General features: G+C 47.4%; 1 long non-coding RNA gene across 1 annotated transcript in view, besides 4 other annotated features; it reads right to left on the bottom strand.

Annotated features, from left to right (window-relative positions):
- The window catches only part of LINC02137 (long intergenic non-protein coding RNA 2137), a 41,536-nt gene extending 26,033 nt beyond the window's left edge, over nucleotides 1–15,503 (bottom strand). Inside the window, exons 1-2 of the long non-coding RNA NR_187253.1 lie at nucleotides 15,408–15,503; nucleotides 1,006–1,137 (exon numbers count right to left, since the gene is read on the bottom strand). This is a non-coding gene — a long non-coding RNA (long intergenic non-protein coding RNA 2137). The remainder of the gene's footprint in view (nucleotides 1–1,005; nucleotides 1,138–15,407) is intronic.
- Nucleotides 630–924: a silencer, noted in NCBI's record as "tiled region #11516; K562 Repressive non-DNase unmatched - State 13:Ctcf". NCBI's record gives its function as "represses a minimal TATA promoter and a strong SV40 promoter by Sharpr-MPRA in K562 cells {active_cell/tissue: K562}" and the evidence as "EXISTENCE:reporter gene assay evidence [ECO:0000049][PMID:27701403]".
- Nucleotides 10,395–10,474: a silencer, noted in NCBI's record as "silent region_7551". NCBI's record gives its function as "represses an Ori minimal core promoter by ATAC-STARR-seq in GM12878 lymphoblastoid cells {active_cell/tissue: GM12878}" and the evidence as "EXISTENCE:reporter gene assay evidence [ECO:0000049][PMID:35858748]".
- Nucleotides 10,545–10,644: a silencer, noted in NCBI's record as "silent region_7550". NCBI's record gives its function as "represses an Ori minimal core promoter by ATAC-STARR-seq in GM12878 lymphoblastoid cells {active_cell/tissue: GM12878}" and the evidence as "EXISTENCE:reporter gene assay evidence [ECO:0000049][PMID:35858748]".
- Nucleotides 18,852–18,961: an enhancer, noted in NCBI's record as "active region_10926". NCBI's record gives its function as "activates an Ori minimal core promoter by ATAC-STARR-seq in GM12878 lymphoblastoid cells {active_cell/tissue: GM12878}" and the evidence as "EXISTENCE:reporter gene assay evidence [ECO:0000049][PMID:35858748]".

Below are 23,990 nucleotides of genomic sequence, written 5' to 3'. Positions count from 1 at the left end.
TCTTTTCTTTTCTTTTCTTTTTTCTGAGATGGAGACTTGCTCTGTTGTCTAGGCTGGAATGGAGTGATGTGGTCATAGCTCACTACAGCCTCCAACTCCTGGGCTCAAGCCATCCCCCTGCCTCAGTCTCCTGAGTAGCTGGGACTACAGGCATGTGCCACCACGCTGGCTAAGTTTTTAATTTTTTGTAGAGGTGAGGTCTCACTATGTTGCTCAGGCTGGTCTGGAACTCCTGGCCTCAAGCAATCCTCCTGCCTCGGCATCCCAAAATGCTGAGATTCCAAGTGTGAGCCATCATGCCTGGCCCGTAGCCTAATTTTCTTAAACTCTAATTCAGGCTTAAGGTCCAAAGAATTTTGTTTCACACTATTTTTCCTTACTTCCCCCACCCCGCCACGCTCAACTTAGAAAAATTGCAAACACAGAAAACTATAAAAAGCAAAAAACACCCACAGACCATAGCTGTCAAAATCTGTGGTTGTTTTTCCTTCCAGTCTTTTTTAAATGCCTCAATTCATTATTTTTGTCTATAATTTTAACATAGGTAGACGCATATATGCTCCATGTTTGAAGATACAATTGCTGCCAAGAGCATCTTGCCTTTCATTAGTACACCTTGCAAACTGCCAAAGGCAGCGTTTCATCACCTTCAGAAAACACTTGCTGGACTACTTCTCTGCTGGGGGGAGCAGGGGCAAAGAGCAGAGCCCAGGCCCAGGCCGGGGTGATCAGCTGGAATCCTAGTATGAGAGGGGATCTTGGTGTTCTTTGGGTTCAAATCCTTGTTTTACAGGTGAGGACACTGGCCTGAAGATTTGAAGAGCTGGGTTCTGGCTGCTCACCAGCCCCCTGGTGGCTCTCCTAGCTGGGTTTTACATGCACAGTGCCATCTGCCTAGACTTGACTGTTCTCCATTTGCCCCTCTCCACCTACCATCTTCCCTTCAGCTTGCTCCGAACCCTGGATGGCTGACCTGGGGGTGCCCTATGGCCTGGGATCCCTTACCCTGTGGCTTCTGGTTGGCTTCAGCCAATGGGAGCACTGGTGGGAGACCGGAGGGAGGAGGAGAGACGTAAGCGTCGTTCCCCTGATGCTTTTCCTTCCAGGCCTTCGTTCCTCTTCTGAAAGTGTCTTTGCCTGTTGGGGGTGCAATAATGAAACATCATAGACTGAGTGGCTTATACACAACAGAAATGTGTTGCTCACAGTCCTGGAGACTGGGAAGTCCAAGATCAAAGCACCAGCAGATTCAGTGTCTAGTGAGGGCCTACTTTCTGATTCATGGATGGTGCCTTCTAGCTGTGTCCTATGAACTCCCTTGGACCTCATTTACAAGGAACACTAATCCCATTCCTGAGGGCCCCACCCTTACGTCTCACCCCTCAAAGGCCCACTTCCTAGTACCATCACATTGGGGACTAGGTTTTGCTATGATTTAAAAGTGTCCTCTCCAAAATCTAGGGGTTGAAACTCCTTATTTTAGAGACAAGGTCTCAGTCTGTTGCCCAGGCTGGAGTGCAGTGGCATGAACATGGCTCACTATAGCCTCAACCTCCTGGGCTCAAACGATCCTCCCGACTCAGTCTCTGGAGTAGCCAAGATGACAGGCATGACGCCACGCCTAATTTTTTAATTTTTATTTTGTAGAGATGGGGTCTTGCTATGTTACCCAGGCTGGTCTTGAACTTCTGGCCTCAAGCTATCCTCCTGCCTCACCCTCCTCAAGTGCTGAGATTACAGGCCTGAGCCACTGTGTCTGGCCCAAGTGTTGAAACTTAATGGCCATGTGATAGTATTAAGAGGTGGGGCCTTTAAAAGGTGATGAGGCAGTGGGGCGCGGTGGCTTATGTCTGCAATCCCAGCACTTTGGGAGGCTGAGTCGGGTGGATCACGTGAGATCGGGAGTTTGAAACCAGCTTGACCAACATGGAGAAACCCCGTCTCTACTAAAAATACAAAAAATTAGCCGGGTGTGGTGGTGGGGTCAGGGAATGGGTGCTGGTCAGGGGGATGGGTGCTGATCAGGAGGATTCAGTGCAGGTCAAGGGAGATAGGTGCTGATCAGGGGGATGGGTGCTGGTTGGGGGAAAGGTGGTAGTCTGGAGGGATGGGTGCTGGTTCGGGGGATGGGTGCTGATCAAGGAATGGGTGCTGGTCAGGGGGATGGGTCCTGGTTAGGAGGGATGGCTGCTGGTCAGGAGGGATGTGTGCTTGTCAGGGGGATGGGTCCTGGTCAGGAGGGTGGGTGATAATTGGGGGGGATGGGTCCTGGTCAGGAGGGATGGGTGCTGATCAGTCAGGGGATGGCTGCTGGCCAGGAGAATGGGTGCTGATTCATGGATGGGTGCTGGAATGGACTGAATGCAGCAGTGAGGGTGAGCTGCGTGCCAGCCCCAGTCTTGCCTGCCTCGCTCACTTGCCTGAGGTCATGAGACCAGTACCATGGAAGAACCAGAACCTGAGCCGGGGCTGATCGTGGAGCCCTGACCTTTAGTCACCCTTACTTCAGAATAGACAGCCCAGGCTTCTGGGCAGCACAGTAATTATGGGAACTGCCAGTTATTTGTAATCTCACACTGACAGCCTGCTGGGAGGGGACCCACTCAGACTCGCCTCCTCCCAGCCATGTGACCCTTGCAGCCCGGGGAGTCCTGGGAGTGGGGGTGTGGGTAAGGGTGGGGGATGAGGGTGTTCTCTGTTCTTAGGCCAAATGGAGAAAGGCGGGAAGCCAGAGCACATTAGGCCAGCTTTCCTTGTGGGCAGCGGCTCTGGCCAGCCCTTGCAGACTCTCCCTGAGGGCACTGTGAATGCCTTTCCTGGGCTGCAGAGACACCTGATGGTCCCCCCACAGCACATCCCAAGGGGGTTGTAGGTACTTACGGCATTGAGAGCTCTGACCAGTTCAAGACCCTGGAGCATTTGACTCCCAAGTTTGAGCTAGATTATTCTGACTCCAGGCCACAAGGCACTAAGGAAGCAGGAAGCAGTGAGGCGTCCAGGTCCAGGTTCTAAATCCTAGCTGTAGAGACAAGAGCAACTCCATTTTGGATGCATCCCTAGGTTTGACTTCTGATTAGCTTAGTCCTGTGAATGCCTCCTTGTTTCTACTTTATTTCCTGTCCCTAGTGTAAGAACACGTCAACCTTGATGTTATCGCACAAATTGTGGGCTGTGACACACACAGTGTTCTTGCCTGTTCTGGAGGGGTGCCTGTAATTTTCTTGCTGGAACACATGTACCCTTTCTCTATGGTATACAAGCCTGAGGTCTTGGGAGTAACAGTGGGAGATCTACCTGTATTATGGCCACCCAAGACCACGCTTCTGTCTGTGAGTTCCCCCAATAAATCATCCAATACTGACAAACAGGATTTGTCTGCCTCCTTTGTTTCTTGGCTCCTTTGGCATTTGGGGATCGCTTTGCACATATGGCTCCGTGATAGTTAATACTGAGTGTCAACTTGATTGGATTAAAGGATGCAAAGTATTGATCCTGGGTGTGTCTGTGAGGGTGTTGCCAAAGGAGATTAACATTTGAATAAGTGGGCTGGGAAAGGCAGACCCACTCTTAATCTGGGTGGTCACAATCTAATCCGCTGCCAGTGAGGCTAGACTATAAAGCAGGCCAAAAAAAAAAAAAATATATATATATATATATATATATATGTGAAAAGACTAGACTGTCCTAGCCTCCCAGCCTACATCTTTCTCTCATGCTGGATGCTTCCTGCCCTCAAGTATCAGACTCCAGGTTCTTCAGTTTTGTGACTTGGACTGAATCTCCTTGCTCCTCAGCTTGCAGACAGCCTATTGTGGGACGTTGTGATCATGTGAGTTAATTCTTAACATATATATATATATATATATATATCCTATTAGTCCTGTCCCTCTAGAGAACCCTAACTAATATAGGCTCTTTCACGGAACACCAGCTCTGCACATATCGGCTGTGGGAGATCTTTAGCCAGTCACTTGGCCTGCCTGGCCCTTGATTTTCTCATCTGTAAAATGGGGATAATAATAACACCAATGCTTCCGGGTGGTTGTGAGGATTATATAGGACAATGCAAGTGGGACCCTATGGAGGTTTTGAGACCCATGTGGTCCAGTCTCGGGGTAGAGTCTAAAAGAACAACAGCCCATTGGAATTCCAGTGAGTGCTCATGTCTCCTGAAGAACATGATGGGGGTCTAGGCGTATATGCCACAGCCACTCTGGGCTCATCACCGTCCTCTGTAACACATGCAACTCCCATAAGATGCTTATCCTCCTCTACAGAAAATCTCCTTCTTCTACTCATGTCTGCTCCACCCCTGCCACCTTGCCAGGCCTCTGCCCTGCAGCCAGGGGCCCAATTACAGAAGGCAGCACTCATAGCATGTTCAACGGGTGAGTCTGCACAGCAGTCCTGTTGCCACCTGCCATGAGGTGTACTGCCTTTGACCTTGCTTCCTCGGGACAGTTCTTTCCCCTTCTGTCTCTCAGAACTTGTCTGGCAGTGGCAAGATGCTTTAGGGAGGGCGTGGAAGCAAACAGTAGGCAATGCCAGAGCCCTCTTTAGTGGGCCTGGGACAGCTGGGAACATTCCCACCTTCATACCTGTGCTTCTATTACACATGGGAAGCATTCAGCACAGGTGCAAGCTCTTAGGTGGCATTTTTAGAACTGCCCAACGTAAAAACTCTGCTGCAATTTTCTATCTAGGCCGAGAGTCGGCTTGAGAAATGCATCCAGTCAAAGATGAAAGAACTTGGAAGGAAGCAGTCTGGGCTGCCTTCCCTGCCCCTGCGGAATGGATTAGCCTGAGTGGCCACACACAAACAGGACAGGCTGGGTCTTGATGTTTTCCAGGTGACAGATCAGGGTACATCTGCAAACCTTGACTGAACTAAGTCGGAGGAAGGATCAGGACAAGCAGCCCAGTGGCAATGTTTTGAAACCAGTAAGCACCCAGGCAGCAAGGCCCTGGACATGGTGCAGCCTCGTTCCCCAAGGCTGAGAGCTGCAAGCCCGAGAGCTGCCTGGGAGGCCAGTCAGTAAGGGGCACCATGACATATTGGAAATGCCATGAGAAGGAGGCAACCATATGAATTAATCAGAGCTCTTCTCAGGGAAAGCCGTGTGTGGGGTAGGGAGGGGTGCTTTGGTGAGCCTCTTGGAGTGAGGGAGGAAAGATGGCAAGGATGTGAGTAAGTAGTCATGACAATTGCTTGCTGGACCCTATGGCAGGTGGCTGAAGAACGCCAGGGCTTCTGTTTTGCTGAGTTAGGGGCTCAGGACAGTTGAGGAGAGGCTGGACCTTGTACCAGCCCCTCCTTCTGCAAGCTCTGACTCAGGGACAGCCTCTTACATGCCCATTAAACATCTGGCCCAGGGATACTAGTTTCAGGGTTGCCTGTCGAGGTACTCCGCAGTATCACCAGGCTCTGGCTAAAGGAACCAGTGTCTCTGGGCCTTTGTTACCAGCTTCATTCTGTCTCCTGGTAGAAGGTGCTTGTTATGAGTTGAACTGCATCTCTAAAATATATGTTGAAGTCCTGGTGTGGTGGCTCATGCCTGTAATATCAGCACTTTGGGAGGCTGAGGTGGGTGGATCACCTGAGGTCAGGAGTTCAAGACCAACCTGGCCAACATGGTGAAACGCTGTCTCAACTAAAAATACAAAAATTAGCCAGGCACAATGGCGCATGCCTGTAGCCCCAGCTACTCGGGAGGCTGAGGCTGGAGAATTGCTTGAACCTGGGGGGTGGAGGTTGCAGTGAGCTGAGATCACACCACTGCACTCCAGCCTGGGTGACAGAATGAGAATCCATCTCAATAAATAAATAAATAATAAAAAATATATGTTGAAGTCCTCACCCCCATATCAGTAAATGTGACTTTATTTTGGGAATAGGAATTTTGCAGATGTCATCAATTCAAGAAGAGCTCATTAGGGTGGGCTCTAATCCAATATGACTGGTGTCTATAAAAGGGAAAATTTGGCCACAGAGACAGCCATGCACAGAACGAAGAGAGCACGGTGACACACAGCAGAAGACCGTGTGTGACGATGGAGGCAGAGATCAGACTGACGCAGCTGCGGCCAAGGAAACCACCAGAAATTAGGAAGAGGCAAGGAAGGATTCTCCCCTAGAGCCTTCAGAGGGAGCGTGGCCCTGCTGACACCTTGATTTTGGATTTCTAGCCCCCAGAACTGTGAGAGAATAAATCGCTGTTGTTTTAAGCCACCTAGTTTGTGGTGTTTTGTTACGACAGCCACAGGAAAGGAATCCAGTGCTTCTGACACAAGAGTCGGGGAGCATTGTCCAGAAGCGTTCCTGTCTGGTAACGCACCTGCCATTGGCCAGAGTAAAGCCTGCACACAGAGCCCGTCCATGAGGAGGTTCTACAATGCACAGCCTGGTAAATTCTGGAGCCGATGACCCAGCCTCGGTTCCTGTCTGTAAAAGGAGGGGCCGGGATGGAATTAGCCCTCTTCAAATTCTAACTTGTTTCAGTTTTGTAAGACCTCCTATTCCTAGTCAGGACATAAAGACCCAAGGGACTGTCAACCATTGAGAGCTTGCTTGCCCTATACTGGGCGGGGTCCTAGGGGACTGATGGGGGCGTCTGTCTCATGGGAATGCAGCCTGTGGGCTCCCAGGACACCTCCTCTACCTGCACTGGAGGAAGCTGGCAGCATCCAAGTGATATTTTGGTGGCTTGGCTGCTCTGGAACTAATGACAAAATAGAATTCCCAACATTAAACCAGTCCCTGCTGAGCTGGACTGTCCTATGGAGCTTTCCTGTATAAATATCCCTTCTGATCAAGGTGCGGTGGCTCACACCTGTAATCCCAGCACTTTGGGAGGCCGAGGCAGGCGGATCGTTTGAGGTCAGGAGTTTGAGACCAGCCTGGGCAACATGGTGAAACCCTGTTTCAACAACAACAACAACAACAAAAATTAGCTGTGTGCCTGTAGTCCCAGCTACTTGAGAGGCTAAGGTGGGAGGATCACTTGAGCCCAGGAGGCCGAAGCTGCAGTGAGCCAAGATCGTGCCACTGCATTCCAGCCTGGACGACAGAGTGAGACCCTGTTTCAAAAAAATAATAAAAAATAAAAAATAAATATCACTTCTTAGGCGTTAAAATCCCTGAGGTTGAGCCATTTCTGATATGGAGGCTTTTACCCTCTCTATTATTTATGATGTTATTTCTATTCACTTTCTTTTTCCCTATGAGATTTAAGGGCCAAATCCACCTGCTCTTTCCATTCTCCAAAAACTCATGGAAATGAAATGGCAACAAAGAACTACTCAGTAATTTGACACTGAAGATTCTCATCTCTCCCCATTTTACTTAGACAATGTGAAATTTAGGAGGGATAAAAGTAAAGTTCTGCCCCAATGTCAAAAACAAACCAATGGCACGAGAATAGGACAGCAGAGGCGTGACTGAAGACTGAAGCGCTCAGGTCATTTCTAGCTGAATGAGCACAGCTTAATGTGCAGTTCCCAAGGATGCTGATCAAACCCAGCAGAATGCTTACTATGCACGGGTCAGCAGTGTGTGGACAGGCAGGTCGTTCTGGGATTGACATTTTGAGAAGGTCATAGAAATATTAGACAGCAGCTGGAGGGCAGTGAGCGGGATGGAAACCGCTGTGTGTATGAGTGATGGTGCATGAATTTAGAAAATGAATTTAGTCTTTGAGCCAGTGCTTTGGTCTGAAGGTTTACATCTCCCCCAGCTGTCGTGACAAATTCATATCACCAAAGTGATGGTATTAGGAAGTGGGGTGCTTTGGGAGGTGATGAGGCAGAGCCCTCATGGAGGAGGTCACAGAGAGCTAACTAACCGCTTCCACCATGGGAGGACACAGCCAGAAAGTGCCATCTATGAACTAGGAAACAGCCCTCACCAGACAAGGAATTATTGTCATCTTGATCTTGGACATCCCAGCCTCTAGAACTGTCAAATGTAAATTTCTGCTCTTTATAAGCCACCCAGGGTATGGTGTTTTTTATAGCAGCCTGAACAGACTAAGATGCCAGCAATTTCATTTCTAGGTCTCTGGCTCAGTTTGCATCTTATTGTGGCGATAACAAATCACAATAACGAACTGGGCAGGCTAAGGAGCACAAATTCATAACCTCATAGTTCTGGAGGACAGAAGTCCAATGGGTTGGCAAGGCCACAATCCTGGAGGCTACAGGGAAGACTTCATTTCCTCGCCTTTTCCAGCTTCTAGAGGCCTCCTTTGGCTTGTAGTCCTTTCAACAATGGCATCACTCTGGCCTCTGCTTCTGTCACTGCATCTCCTTCTTCCCTTCTGCTTCTGCATCACATGGCCTGCTCTGTGACTCTCTTGCCTCTCTCTTACAAGGACCCTTATGATTATAATGGGCTTACCCCACAATCCAGGATCACCTCCCCCCACCTACCGCAAGAGCCTTAATTTAAGCACGTCTGCAAGTCTCTTGTCATGCAAGGTAACAAATTCACAGGTTCTGAGCATTAGCATGTGGGCATCTTTGGAAGGCCATTATTCTGTCCTCTACACTTGCCTACAGAATACACAAGTGTGCAAGGATGTAGGAACAATCATCTCAAACAATGAAAACACAGAGACAGCCTAACATCTGACAACAGGGTTCTGGTTGGATAATGACGCAGCCATTCTATGGAATATCACACAGCCATAAAAAGATGGAGGTAGGTGACATGGAAGGATGTCCACGATGTATTATTTATTTGTTTATTTATTTTGAGACAGGGTCTTACTCTGTTGCCCAGGCTGGAGTGCAGTGGCGTGATCTTGGCTCACTGCAACCTCTCCCTCCTGGGTTCAAGCGATTCTCCCACCTCAGCCTCCCGGGCAGCTGGGATTACAGACTTATGCCACCAAACCCAGCTAATTTTTGTATTTTTTGAAAGAGACGGGGTTTCACCATGTTGGCCAGGCTGATTTCGAACCCCTGACCTCGAGTGATCCACCTGACTCAGCTTTCCAAAGTGCTGGGATTACAGGCTTGAGCCACTGTGTCCGGCCCATGATGTATTTTTGAATAAGAGATAATTTTCAGAAATTCATAATTTATTTGTTCAAGAAATGCTTTCAATGCCTACTATGTGCCAGGAGCTGAGAACACACCAGTAAGTTAAACAGGAAGAATTCATATTCACTTTCTAAAAACTGTATACAGAAATATGTGTATGCATGGGGGAGAAAAGTCTTACCTGGAAAGTAAATGGTAAGTTGTTAATAGTGATTCTCAGGAGAGGAAGAGTGGGGCATGGAGATAGTGAGGATTTGCTAGGTTTATTTTGATGTTTTCATATGGTTTTATCTTTTCAACAAGCACTTGTTATTTCTGCTAAAAACGAAATTGAACTAAGGTACAGTTATCAAGACAAATTATTATGTGAACTCTAACTTCTTGATGATAAAGCTGTACCAATCTGCAAAAGAGAAAGAAGGAAGGAAAGAAGAAGAGAGGGAAGGAAGGAGAGAGAATGGAGACAAAGAAAAGGGGAAAGGAAAGGAGGAGAAAAAGAACAAGCTGATAAGTGTTAACTTGGAGAAGGGAAGTCTTGAGGGGCACTTTGCCAAGGCTCTTGTGGTTCAGAGTGTCCCTCCGTCCCCTGCAGGAACTGGCAGCTCCTCCAGATATATTTCTTTCTGTCCTCTCTTTGGGCACCTGGCCCTGTGCCTGTGCACAGTAGGTGATCAGTGACATATTGTTGACAAGCAAAGCAACAGATGGAAATGCTGGTAATAGTGGAGAAGCCACTTCATCAAGCCAGGGCGCATTTTTGACCCCCTAAGCCATCAGGCACATTTACCAGCCTCAATTTTTTCTTTTCTTTTCTTTTTTTTTTTTGAGAAACGGTCTCGTTCTGTTATCCAGGCTGGACAGCAGTGGTGCCATCATAGCTCACTGCAGCCTCATCCTTCCAGGCTCAAGCGATCTTCCCACCTCAGCATCCCGAGTAGCTGGGACCACAACCCCAGCCTTCATACTATACCAATATTTGCTTCCTTTCTTTTTTTTCTTTTTTTTTTTTTTTTTTTTTTTGAGACAGAGTCTCATTCTGTTGCCCAGGCTGGAGTGCAGTGGTGTGGTCTTGGCTCACTGAAACCTCCAGTTCTCAGAGTCAAGCAATTCTTCTGCCTCAGCCTCCCAAGTAGCTGGGATTACAGGCACCTGCCACCAAACCCGGCTAAATTTTATATTTTTAGTAGAAACGGGGTTTTGCCATTAGCCAGGCTGGTCTCCAATTCCTGACCTCAAGTGACCCACCCTCCTCAGCCTCCCAAAGTGCTGGAATTACAGGTGTGAGCCACCTTACCTGGCCCTCCCCTCATTTATAACCATTTCAGGTCAAACTCTGGTCCTTCCCAAGTCCCTGGAACTTCCTAGTTTCTTCAAGGCACAGATTCTGCTGTTTGGGGAAGTGCGTGGAAATTCTAGCTCACTTATTTCAGCCACAGTGGTCCGCCAGATGAACCTGTGGTTTGCTACTTCCTCACCCTGAACTGTAATCTCCGAGCTGGCCTTTCTGCCCTCTGCATGTGTCTCTGAGACTGAGGCTTTGTGGTGGGACGTGTGGCAGGAAGAGGAGGGATGAGGCCTTGGGCACGGGTACCCTCTATCATGGGCACTGTGATCTCAGCCCTACATTCCCCTGATAGACACTGCCTCGGGTTGCATGCCTGGCAGATGGTTTTTCTGAGAACACCACCCAGTAACAAACAAAACAGGTGTGTGTCTTTTCATTTTACTCTTGGTTCTTAGTGTTTTAGGAAAAAAGTATCTGGATTTGAGTATCTGAAATATTCGCATGTTTTACTGAGAAAACAAGGAACCTCTGATTTTCTTGGGAAACAATGAGAGTCGTCACTTCCTTTTAGTGCTTTTAAGCACAAGTTGAAACAAGGAAAACACAATTTTGATTAGTTCTCATTGTCTTTTTGAATGCCTGCTTCACCCTTCCTAGAGCTACAGTGGTATGAAATTAACACTGCTCCCTCCCAGCACTTTGGGAGGCCAAGACGGGTGGATCATTGGAAGTCAGGAGTTCGAGACCAGCCTGGCCAACGTGGCGAAACCCCGTCTTTACCCAAAATACAAAAATTAGCCATGTCTAGTGGTGTATGCCTTTAAGTCCCAGCTACTTGGGAGGCTGAGGCACCAGAAATGCTTGAACCTGGAAGATGGAGGTTACAGTGAGCCGAGATCGTGCCAGTGCGCTCGAGCCTGGGCAACACAGCAACACTCTGTCTCAAACAAACAAAAAAAGTGTAGCTCGATTCAACCCACCAGGCCCTCCATGACATGTCCCACCCCTTCGCTGCTCTATCCTCTTCTCCTCCCATCCTCCCCCCTCCACTCAGGCAAGTTCCTGCCTCAGGACCTTTGCACATGCTATTCCCTCTGCCTGGAACACTCTCCCCTCAGGCGTCTGCATGTTTCCCTCCCTCCTTCAAGTCTTTGTGCTCCAATGTCACCTTCTCAGGGAAGCCCCCCGACCACCCTCTGTAGAACTGCAGCCCCCACCCTGTCTCAGCCCTCCTAAGCCCAGCCCTGCTTTATTTTCCTCCATAGCACTTGTCACCTCCCAATAGATCACATTTTCAGTTTGACTGTCTACTCCCTTTCTAATGGAAACTCCAGGAGGGCAAGGATTTTTGTGCATTTTCTTTACCACTGTTAACCAGTCCTAGAACCATCATTGAATCTGAGGCTTTAGAGAAGAGTTTTGCATCATGTATCCAAAATCTTATAAACATGGCCAGGCTCAGTGGCTCACGTCTATAATCCCAGAACTTTGGGAGGCCGAGGCGGGTGGATCATTTGAGGTCAGGGATTCGAGACCAGCCTGGCCAACATGGTGAAACCCCGTTTCTACTAAATACAAAAAAAAAAAAAAAATAGTGGGGCATGGTGGCGCATGCCTGTAATCCCAGCTACTCAGGAGGCTGAGGCAGGAGAATCACTTGAACCCAGGAGGCAGAGGTTGCAGTGAGCTGAGATTGCGCCACTGCACTCCAGCCTGGGCAACAGAGTGAGACTCTGTCTCAAACAAACAAACAAAAAAAAAACCAAAACCAAATCTCATAAACATGCTCATGATTCCACCCAGCTATTCTACATCTAGGAATTTATCCTTTGGAAGTAATCACAGATGTGCACAAAGATATGGTTAGAAATGTCACAAGGGCAAAACACTGGAAATAATGAGAGCTGGCATTTAATTACCACTTACTGTGTGTAGACCTTGTTGCAAACATTTTATGTGTATGAACTTATTTAAACTTCACAGCAACCCTAGAACCTGCTGATTATCGTCTGTATTTTACAAGTGAAGAAACAGGCGGAGGGTTTGAAGAGTATGTAGTAAAGCCAGGATTCAAAGTTGTGTTTCTTGTGTCTGAATCAAGAGCCCATACTCTTTTTATTTTCGAGAGAGTTTTGCTCTGTTGCCCAGGCTGGAGTGCAGGGGCGCAATCCCAGCTCACTGCAACTTCTGCCTCCGGGTTCAAGCAATTTTCCTGCCTCAGCCTCCTGAGTAGCTGGGATTACAGGTGCCTGCCACCACGCCCAGCTAATTTTTGTATTTTTAGTACAGATGAGGTTTCACCATGTTGGCCAGGCTGGTCTCGAACTCCTGGCCTCATGTGATGCACCCGCCTCAGCTTTATCAGATTCTCAAAGACCTCCAGGAACCAGGGTTGTAGAATAATTTTCCTACATAAGCAAAGTTAGGAATTGTCAATGCTGCTTTTAGCATAGTCTTAAAAAAATTTTTTACCTTCCTTCCTTCCACATAAGCTTCCCTTTTCTTGTCCCTAAATGATGTTAAGAATCTGGAATGTCACCATAGATGTATCTTTAGGCCAGGTGCAGTGGCTCATGCCTGTAATCCCAGCTTTTTGGGAGGCTGAGATGGGAGGACTGCTTGAGGCCAGGAGTTCAAGACCAACCTGGTCAACCTAGTGAGAGCCCATCTTTACAAAACAAAACAAAATCCAAGAATCTTTAATGACTTGGAAAGAGCTTTGTTGCATATAGTTAACTGCAAAAGGCAGGTTACTAAAGAGTCTACGTTCTGACCACATTTTCATTAAAAATTTATCTCTACCTATATGCATGGTAAAATGACTCAAATTGACTATGTATGTTAATATCGCCACTTCTAGGTAATGAAATTCTGGGTGTTTTAAAACTTATTTTCTGGTCTTGTTTGTATTCATTACATGTTTACAGGAATGTTACTTTTGTCATTAAATATACTTTTTGTTTTTAGAAAAAGGCAGACTTTGGGCAGAAAATTTGGTAGTCCCTATCAGAATTTTAAGAGATGTGGGTCTTGCTATGTTGCCCAGACTGGTCTCGAACTCTAGCAGTCCTCCATCTCTGCCTCCCAAAGTGCTGGCATTATAGGCATGAGCCACCGCGCCCGGCCCCCTATCAGAATTTTAAATGTACTTACTCTATGCTCCATCAATTCCACCTTTCCAGAAGTCTGCACTACAGAAATCCTTGCACATGCGGCTGCATGTAAGTCCTGTGACGTTCACCGTAACGTTGTGAAAATTTATGAACAGCCCAAATCCTTCAGAGAAGTTGAGTGGTTAAATAGAATATGATCTTTCCCTACTCTGAAAACCTCTGTGGTTGTTAAACAAGAATAAGGTAGATAGATCTCCGAGATATTGTTAGGTAAAAAAGGGAGGGCACAGAACAGAATGTATAATAGGATCCAACCTACATAAAGGACTACATGTGAGCATGAAGGCGTTGAAAGGAACTGGAGGGAAGCCATCTGTTTGTTGATGTTGTTACCTCCCGGAGCTGGGTGTGGGTGTGGGAGGCGATGGTGAAGGGGACTTGTTTTGTTCTGGTTACTTGAATCTTTCAGAAGTCTGTACATGCAGGACCATGTATTATATATGTCATCAATTTAACACAGTAAAAATATGAAAGTTTTAAAATAAAAGCCCCTAAACTCTAAAATGTTTTCCCCTTACTGAACTGCTCAAGGACTCCATTTGCAAACTGATAGTCTTAGGAAACGGCCATGGGTTTTGGTTACTGTCTAGATAGAAACAGGCTCCATCACTGGGCCGGACACAGTGGCTCACATCTGTAATCTCAGCACTTTGGCAGGCCGAGGTAGGAGGATCATTTGAAGCCGGGAGTTTGAGACCAGACTGGGCAACATAGCAAGACACTGTCTCTATTTAAAAAACAAACAGGCCGGGATTGGTGGCTGACACCTGTAATCCCAGCACTTTGGGAGGCCGAGGCGGGCAGATCACTTGAGGTCAGGAGTTTGAGAGCAGCCTGGCCAACATGGTGAAACCCCATCTCTACTAAAAATACAAAAATTAGCCAGGCGTGGTGGTGCATGCCTGTAACCCCAGCTACTCAGGGGTGAGGCAGGAGACTCGCTTGAACCTGGGAAGCAGAGGTTGCAGTGAGCTGAGATTGTGCCACTGCACTCCAGCCTGGGTGACAGAGTAAGAGTCCGTTTCAAAACAACAACAACAACAAGAAAAAACTGTAAAAAAACAAACAGGCTGTGTCTCCAGCAAAGGACAAATGTTATGTAAACAGTGATGCAGCCATAAGGGGCACTTTTTTTTTTTGAGACAGGGTCTTGCTCTGTTGCCCAGGTTGGAGTGCAGTGGCGCCATCACGGCTCACTGCAGCCTCGACTGCCCAGGCTCAAGCAATTCTCCTACCTCAGCCTTTCTGAATAGTTGGGACCACAGGTGCTGCCACCACACCTGGCTAATTTTTAAATTATTTGTAGAGATGTGGTCTTACTATGTTGCCCAGGCTGGTCTCAAACTCCTGGCCTCAAGTGATCCTCCCACCTCAGCCTCCCAAAGTGCTGGGATTACTGGCATGAGCTGCTGTGCCTGGCCTGGGGCACACTCTTATGTCCTAAGCAAGAACACTAGTTGTAAATATCTTGGAGCGATGTGGAAAGTAAGGGACAAAAGTCAAGTGGGAAATTATGCAAGTGCTGCTGGGCTTACAGCCAGGTGGGATGAAGCATGCCCCGGATAGAGGTAGGAGGGCTGCAGCGCACAGCCAGGTGGGGCTATGGCATCTTAGGCCAAAGCTGTTTCTCCCGGGGCTTTCTCATCCCAGCTCTGAAGCCACAAGCCTGCAAGTCATCTGGAATCCTGTCGTCACCACATCCTCTTGGCTCCCTTCACTTCTTGACATCCCCACAGTTCTCCCTCTGGCCCCAGGCACCTTCATCTCTCACCTCCTTTATCACAGAAGCCTCCCAAGGGGGGTGTCCTGGTTTCCCAAGGCCATCTGTATTAGTCTGTTCTCACACCGCTATAAGGACATACCCGAGACTAGGTAATTTATAAAGGAAAGCAGTTTAATTGACTCACAGTTCAACATGGCTGGGGAGGCCTCAGGAAACTTACGATCATGGCAGAAGGAGAAGCAAATACATCCTTCTTCACATGGCAGCAGGAAAGAGAAGTGCCAAGCAAAAGGGGGAAAGCCCCTTATAAAACTATCAGATCTGTGAGAACTCACTCACTATCACGAGAACAGCACGGTGAAAACCGCCCCCATGATTAAATTACTTCCCACGGGGCCCCTCCCACCACACGTGGGGATTATGGGAACTACAATTCAAGATGAGACTTGGGTGGAGACATCGTCAAACTATATCACCATCCTTCTCCAGCCTGGAATGCCTACACTGTTCCCCATTTAAAGATTTGGCTTCCTGGCTCCCCTGCCTGGATGCTCCAGGCCTCTGTGTGTCCGGTGGCTCCACAGACTACCCAGAGGGCCCTTCTTACAGTGCAGCCACCCCTCTTGCCCCCATTATTTACCACCTCAGCCTGCTTGTCTTCTTCATGGTTCTATCCCTGTCTGAAATCCTCATTGTTACTTGTTTATTCCCGATCTCCCCCACTAGCCAGCATTACTCAAGGGCTTACCACGTGCAGGACACTGCTTTAAGCATTTTACATAGAACCCATTTAGTGCACCTCAAAATCCTACCAGGTGAGTATAATCATGGTTCCCGTTTTACAGATGAGGAAAGTGGGGCACTGAGCTAAGCACCGTACTCCCACGTCACGTGGCTCCAAAATGGCAAAGCTGGGGTTTGAACTTGGGGGCTCCCAGCCCAGAGCCTGGACCCCTAATTACTAAATGATCCTACCTGAAACTACAGATGCACTAAAAACGGACTTTTTTTTGAGACAGCGTCTTGCTCTGTCGCCCAGGCTGGAGTGCAGTGGCGCAATCTCGGCTCACTGCAACCTCTGCCTCCTGGGTTCAAGCCATTCTCATGCCTCAGCCTCCTGAGTAGTTGAGATTACAGGTGTGAGCCACCATGCCCACCTGATTTTTGTATTTTTAGTAGAGATAGGATTATGCCATGTTGGCCAGGCTGGTCTTGAACTCCTGACCTCAGGTGATCCACCCTCCTCCATCTCCCAAAGTGCTGGGATTACAGGCGTGAGCCACCACACCTGGCCAAAAAAACGGACATCTTACTTACTTTTTGAAGATTCAAATTATCTTGAGGGGCAGCCAGTGTCCTGCTCACTCCAGTGCTGGGGAGCAGGACCGCGGGCACCCCTACCCCTACCAAGCTTTTATTGCCTTTAGTGATTTGGGGCATGTGTCTTGACCTGTTTTTCCCTGGACCTAGGATAAACCAGGCTGTTGTTGACAGAGTTCTGGTTTTTGTTGAAGCTCTCAAAATATCGAATCCATAAGCTTGTTTTCCTTATTTAATTCTCACCAGGGTCTCATGGCATGGAGACCCCCCTAGCTAGCACCGATGGCACTGAAACTGTGGCAGTGCCTCTGGTTGCAAAAAATAGGGGATCAACGCCTATTTGGGTTCTATTTTTATTAAAACCCCATTAGCTTGTTTCTATCGGAGCAATTAAAGTGTCGAGGCCTGATGCTCTGCAGGGGCTGTGGAGGAGGCGCTTTCGTGAGAGCAACTGTTCTCAGGCGGAGAACTTTCTTTTCAAAAGGACCCCTGGGGCCTGAAGTCTCAGGCTTATTCTCAGCCCCAGGTGGGTTTTCTTAGTGGATAATTTGGTAACATCCTCTGCAGCTGGGCTTGAGTTAATGAGGTTGAAGATCACCTAATTTTCCCCCTTCCTTTTTTTTTCTTTCTTTGCCTGATTTTGTAACTCACAGTCTAAAGGCTTCCAACCTGTTCCAGCAAATGTTAATTCTGTTCACACCTTGCCAAGTGTGAAATTTCACCCAGCACAGCTGTGCAGACGCATTTCTGTTTCTACCCTGGCACCTTAAAATCAGCTAAACCCACCCAAGCTGGGCTCTGTCCTCATTCCACGCCGGGGTGGGCACAACCTGCTGGCTAGGGTGTGTCCCCATGACACGACTCTGTGCATCTTAACACGTCAGCACACTCTGGAACTTGACAGCTTGCAATTCGGAGGCCATGAATTCAGCACGTGTTAGGCTCCGTGCTCTGTGCTCTGGAGGACTCAGTAGGTCTGGGGTGGGCGCTGGAATCTGTAGTTCTAGCAAATTCACAGGTGGTGCTGATGCAGCTGGCCTGGGGACCACACCTTTGAGAACCACTGTGGTGGGTTTATTTATTTATTTTTTTTGAGACGGAGTCTTGGTCTGTCACCCAGGCTGGAGTGCAGTGGCATGATCTGGGCTCGCTGCAAACTCCACCTCCCGGGTTTAAGTGAGTCTCCTGCCTCAGCCTTCTGAGTAGCTGGGACTACAGGCCACACCACCATGCCTGGCTATTTTTTGTATTTTTAGTGGAGACGGGGTTTGCCATGTTGGCAAGGCTGGTCTCGAATTCCTGACCTCAAGTGATCCATCTTGGCCTCCCAAAGTGCAGGGGGATTACAGGCATGAGTCACTGCAGCCAGTTCCTGTTATGGACTTTTGCTTAAAAGTTACCTTCCCCGGAGGCCCTCCAGTCACACACAGCCTGACTTGGAAGGTGGCCCTGCCAAAGGCTCTCAAGGCAATGTGTATGGCCCGTCCTGGGCTCACACTTGTGATGATCTAATAATGTCCTCCCACTCCCTGACTGTCAGCTCCACCCCTACGGCCAGCTCTATCATATTCATGCCTCAAAAGATCTGCTCTCTGCCTCCTCCCCACTCCCTCATCTCCTGTCACTCTCATCCACACCTCTGCCACCCAGGCCTGCTTTTGTTTCTTAAAGCAGGCCAACCAAGCCACACACTTCTCACCTCCTCTCACTGCTTGGAATGATGACCTCCTCTGGGCTCTTCACCCAGCCAGCTCTGCATCTTTCCTCAGAGAGCCCCTCTTTGGACTCACTAAAGAAGGTCCCTGAAAGCCGGGCAAAGTGGCTCACACCTGTAATCCCAATCTTTGGGAGGCTGAGGTGGGATGATTGCTTGAAGCCAGGAGTTCTAGACCAGCCTGGGCAACATAGTGAGAACTCCGTCTCTATAAAAATTAAGAACAAGAAAAATTAGCCAGATGTGGTGGCACACACTTGTAGTACTAGCTACTTGGGAGGTTGAGGCGTGGAGATCGCTTGAGCCCAGGAGTTCAAAGCTGCAGTGAGCTAGGGTTGTGCCACTGCACTCAAGCCTGAGTGACAGAGCGAGACTCTGTCTTTATTTACACATGCCCTTTAATTCACCTCACAGATCTTATTGTAATCCCGTTTATAGTCCGCCTTGCCCTTTACAGTGTAAACTCCACAGGGCAGTGAGGGATGACCATTCCACTCCTGACTTCAGACCCTCACTGGAGGGGCGAATGAATGAGTGAATAAGTGGGATTAATTTCTGCTGTCAGTGAAATTCCCAGCAGAAGAAGCCAGAAAACAGCCAAGCCTGCCCTGCAGGGGACTGTTTGAACTGTGTAGCCTCTGCTTTCTCGGATTCCCCCTTCCTCCGGACCAACCATGAGCCACCCATCACCTGTTTTGAGCAAGGCAGTTGGGGGTGAGGCAGAGAGAAGGAGGCAAGGGAGTTTTTGCAACAGCCAGAGCTGCAGATTAGACACATGTAATCAATCCGGAGAGCCACACAGTGTTCTGCCAACTGAGATACCCAGATTAAACAGACCAAGGGCCCCTGAGGCAAAATGTCATGCAAAATAACTTTTCAAAAATAGCAGCTTGCAATCTCGAGAATGAGCACGGGTTGTCAATGACATGAGCAGTCTTTTGAAACAGAAGGAGGAGTCCTGTTTTTACTGCAGATAATGGTGATATGACATAGGCATAGGTTGGGCCAATTTTGCCAAAGGAGACACTTAGAAGGGATAGCGAGTCCTATAGAAATGGCGTTGGGAGGACCAGGACTGAAGCGAGAGACGCCTGATAGTGCGGTTGGAAGAGGGGATGGCGAGTCCTATAGAAACGGTGTTGGGAGGACCGGGACTGAAGCGAGAGACGCCTGATAGTGCGGTGGGAAGAGGGGATGGCAAGTCCTATAGAAACGGTGTTGGGAGGACCAGGACTGAAGCGAGAGACACCTGATAGTGCGGTGGGAAGAGGCTGCCCTGGCCTGCTCTGTTGCTCATCGCACAGTGCAGCAGAGCAGAGAAGAGTCGGATCTCAGGATCAGCCTGACCTGGTTTCCAGCCCTGGGCCCAGCACTGGTTGCTGTGTGACCTTCGGCACACACTTAACCTCACTGAGTCTATTTCTTTATCTGTAAAAGGGGGATAACAATAATTCATCTCTTAGGGTTTTTGTGGAAATTAAATGAGATAATACATATAAAATTAGCTGGGCATTGTGGCAGGCACCTGTAATCCCAGCTACTCAGGAGGCTGAGGCAGGAGAATGGCTAGAACCTGGAAGGTGTAGGTTGCAGTGAGCTGAGATGGCGCCACTGCACTCCAGTCTGGGTGACAGAGTGAGACTCTGTCTCCACAAAAAAAAAAAAAAAAAAAAAAAAAAGAACACCTGTAAATCAGTAAAAAGATAAACAATCCAGTAGAACAATGGGTAAAACACGTAAACAGGCATTTCACAAAAGAGGAAGCATAAATGGCCAATGAATATATTTTAAAACCAGGGCCTGTTGTTGGGTGGGGGGAGGGGGGAGGGAAAGCATTAGGAGATATTCCTAATGTAAATGACGAGTTAATGGGTGCAGCACACCAACATGGCACATGTATACATATATAACAAACCTGCACGTTATGCACATGTACCCTAGAACTTAAAATATAATAATAAAAAAAATACAGAAAAAAAAAGAAAAAAAATTTAGCCAGGTGTGGTGTTGCATGCCTGTAATCCCAGTGATTCAGGAGGCTGAGGCAGGAGGATCACTTGAGGCAAGGAGTTCAAGACTAGCCTGGGAAATACAGCAAGATTCTGTCTCTAAATAAGTAAAAGAAGTCAGGTGTGGTGGCATGTACCTATAGTCCCAGCTAGTCGGGAGGCTGAGGTGGGAGGACTGCTTGAGCCTAGGAGTTCAAGGCTGCAATGAGCTATGATCCCACAACTGCACTCCAGCCTGGGTGACACAGGGAGACCTTGTTTCTAAGGAAAAATAAAAAAAGATACTACAAAGAAAATTAAAAGACAAGCTACAGAATGGGAGAATTTTGCAACACAGATAACTGACAAAGGATTAGTATAAAGAACACCTATACTGGCCAGGCGCGGTGGTTCATGCCTGTAACCCCAGCACTTTGGCAGGCCGAGGTGGGTGGATCACCTGAGGTCAGGAGTTTGTGACCAGCCTGGCCAACATAGTGAAATCCTGTCTCTACTAAAAATACAAAAATTAGCTGGGCGTTGTGGCAGGCACCTGTAATCCCAGCTACTCAGGAGGCTGAGGCAGGAGAATCGCTAGAACCCTGAAGGCATAGGTTGCAGTGAGCTGAGATGGCGCCACTGCACTCCAGCCTGGGTGACAGAGCAAGACTCTGTCTCCAAAAAAAAAAAAGATCACCTATAAATCAGTAAAAAGAAGATAAACAATCCAGTAGAACAATGGGCAAAACATGTAAACAGGCATTTCACAAAAGAGGAAGCATAAATGGCCAATGAATATATTTTAAAATGTGCAACTCATTAGTACTCAGAAAAACGCAAATCAGAATAACATTTATATATATAAATTTATATATAAAAATTCTTTTGTGATAGAGTCTCATTCTGTCACCCGGGCTGCAGTGCAGTGGTATGATCAAGGCTCACTGTAGCCCTGAGCTTCTATACTCAAGCAGTCCCTCTGCCTCAGCTTCCCATGTAGCTGGGACCACAGGTGCATCCCACCATGCCTGGCTTTTTTTTTTTTTAAAGTAAAGATGGGGGTCTTGCTATATTTCCCAGACCGGTCTCAAGCAATCCTCCCACTGGCTTCTTAAAGTAGTGAGATTATAGGTGTGAGCCACTGTGCTCGGCCACAGTGAGATATTTTTTAATACCCATTAAATTGGAAAAAAAAAAAAGAATTCTAATAATGGAAACTCTTATACACTGTTGATGGGTGAATAAAGTCATGTGATTTGGCGGAAGCTTGTGAAGTAGAGCACTGGCAGACCCTATAAGCCAGCACTTTCACTTGGGCGTTCATCCCAGAGGAATGCATGCTGTGTAAGAATCCGCACAGTGACAATGTTTGTAATAGAAAAAAAGCTTGGAAATGGACCAAATGTCTGCTGATAAGAGAACACTTATAGAAGTTGTGGCATGTTCCCACAATAGAATAATATACAGCAGTAAAAATGAGCTGCGATGACATGATTGAAAATTAAAATTGAGTGAAAGAAGCAAGATGCAGCTGACTGCATGCAACAGGAACTTAGTTTTACAAAGTTTGAAAACAAACCAGTCCTGGCACGGTGGCTCACGCCCGTAATCCCAGCACTTTGGGAGGCCAAGGCGGGTGGATCACCTGAAGTCAGTTTGAGACCAGCCCGGCCAACATGGTGAAACCCCATCTCTCCTAAAAATACAAAAATGAGCCAGGCGTGGTGACGCACACCTGTAATCTCAGCTACTTGGGAGGCTGAGGCAGGAGAATCGCTTGAACTCAGGAGGCAGAGATTGCATTGGCCGAGATTGCGCCATTGCACTCCAGCCTGGGCAACAAGAGTGAAACTCTGTCTCAAAAACAAACCAAAAAACAAAAAATCAGGCCAGGTGCAGTGGCACATCCCTGTAATCCCAGCACTTCGGGAGGCCGAGGAAGGTAGATCATCTGAGATTAGGAGTTTAAGACCAGTCTGGCCAACATGGTGAAACCCCATCTCTACTAAAAATACAAAAATTAGCTGGGCGTGGTGGTGTGCGCCTGTAATCCCAGCTACTCGGGAGGCTGAGGCAGGAGAATCACTTGAACCCAGGAGGCAGAGTTGCAGTGAGCCAAGATCATGCCACTGTACTCCAGTCTGTGTGACAGAGCAAGACTCCATTTCAAAACAAAACAAAACAAAACAAAACACCACCAAAATAATATATTCACTAGATATAAAAACTAAGGAAGTAATAAATATAAAATCCAGGATAATGATTACTCTGGGGGTAGAGGGTAGCAGAGAAACTATGCAGGAGGCAATGATCATGTTCTCAACTTAAATTAGTGGAAGTTGGTGGGTGTTCATTGTATTACACCACTTCATAACATACAGATATGTTACATATATTCTTGGCATGTATCAAATGTAAAATAATAAAAAGTATATATATGTGTATATATATATGTGTGTGTGTGTATAGATATGTGTGTGTGTATATATGTATGTGTGTATGTGTGTCTGTGTGTATATATATACACATATATTTTAAGACCGAGTCTCACTCTGTCATCCAGGCTGGAGTGCAATGGCGCAGTCTCGGCTCACTGCAACCTCTGCCAGCCAGATTCAAGCAATTCTCATGCCTCAGCCTCCCAAGTAGCTGGGACTACAGGCACAAGCCACCACGCCCAGCTAATTTTTGTGTTTTTAGTAGAGACAGGGTTTCACCATGTTGGCCAGGCTAGTCTCGAACTCCTGACCTCAGGTGATCCATCTGCCTTGGCCTCCCAAAGTGCTGGGATTACATAAGCCACCACGCCTGGCCAAAAAGTATACATATTTTTAACAGCCCTGGAATAGTTCATCCTTCTGGGCCCCTTCGACTCTAGGCTATGATTTCTGAGCCGCTGTGTAGCCGCTCTCAGTTTAGGGAGATTTGATAACATCTCCACAGCCTCCACCATGTGGCTACCCTTGTATCAGTTTATTTGATTTTGCAGCGAATGACTGTCAGGGGCTTGAAGATGTAACCTCTTTCCTGTGAGGTTTGCTCTGAGACGTGAATCCCTGAGGGACCTTGCCACATCATGTGGATGACATGAGGAGGTGGGTATGCATGAGCTGTAATTAAGCAAAGCAATAGTTTCATCTCCATTTAACGCAGCTGAACACTTTGTTCTTTCCACAGATAAGTATACAACAACCTGTGACACATTGTTCTTCTATTTTTTTTTCTATTTGAAGTGGCAGAAGAACCCTTTAAAATCACAAAGGTTCTTTAATTTTTTTTTTTTTTCAATTAGCCAGGCATGGTGGCACATGCCTGTAATCCCAGTGACTCCTGGAGGTTGAGGCAGGAGGATCCCTTGAGGTCAGGGGTTCAAGACCAGTCTGGGTAATATAGCAAGACCCTGTCTCTAAATAAATAAAATAAGCCAGGCGTGGTGGCATGCACCTGTAGTCCCAGCTAGTCGGGAGGCTGAGGTGGGAGGATTGCTTTGTCTATGAAAATTAGAGTCTTTGAAAATGGAGTGAGGTTTTAGTTTTTATTGATTTCTTTTGAAAAAATGCCTTAAACATTGGAGAACTGGATTTTCAATCCTGGCCATACACAAACATGATGTGTTATATGGATCCCCACTCCCTAAAAATCTTTAAAATGATCTAGGAATTCAGGTGGTAGGATCCTCTGAAATGTTGATCAAGGTCTGAGCTGGCTCAAAACCTGGGAAAAGACTTCTTAGACTGCTGAACTA

Source organism: Homo sapiens, chromosome 16 (assembly GCF_000001405.40).
Source record: "Homo sapiens chromosome 16, GRCh38.p14 Primary Assembly".
Taxonomy (NCBI): domain Eukaryota; kingdom Metazoa; phylum Chordata; class Mammalia; order Primates; family Hominidae; genus Homo; species Homo sapiens.
This window is presented reverse-complemented; position numbering and strand designations above follow the sequence as displayed.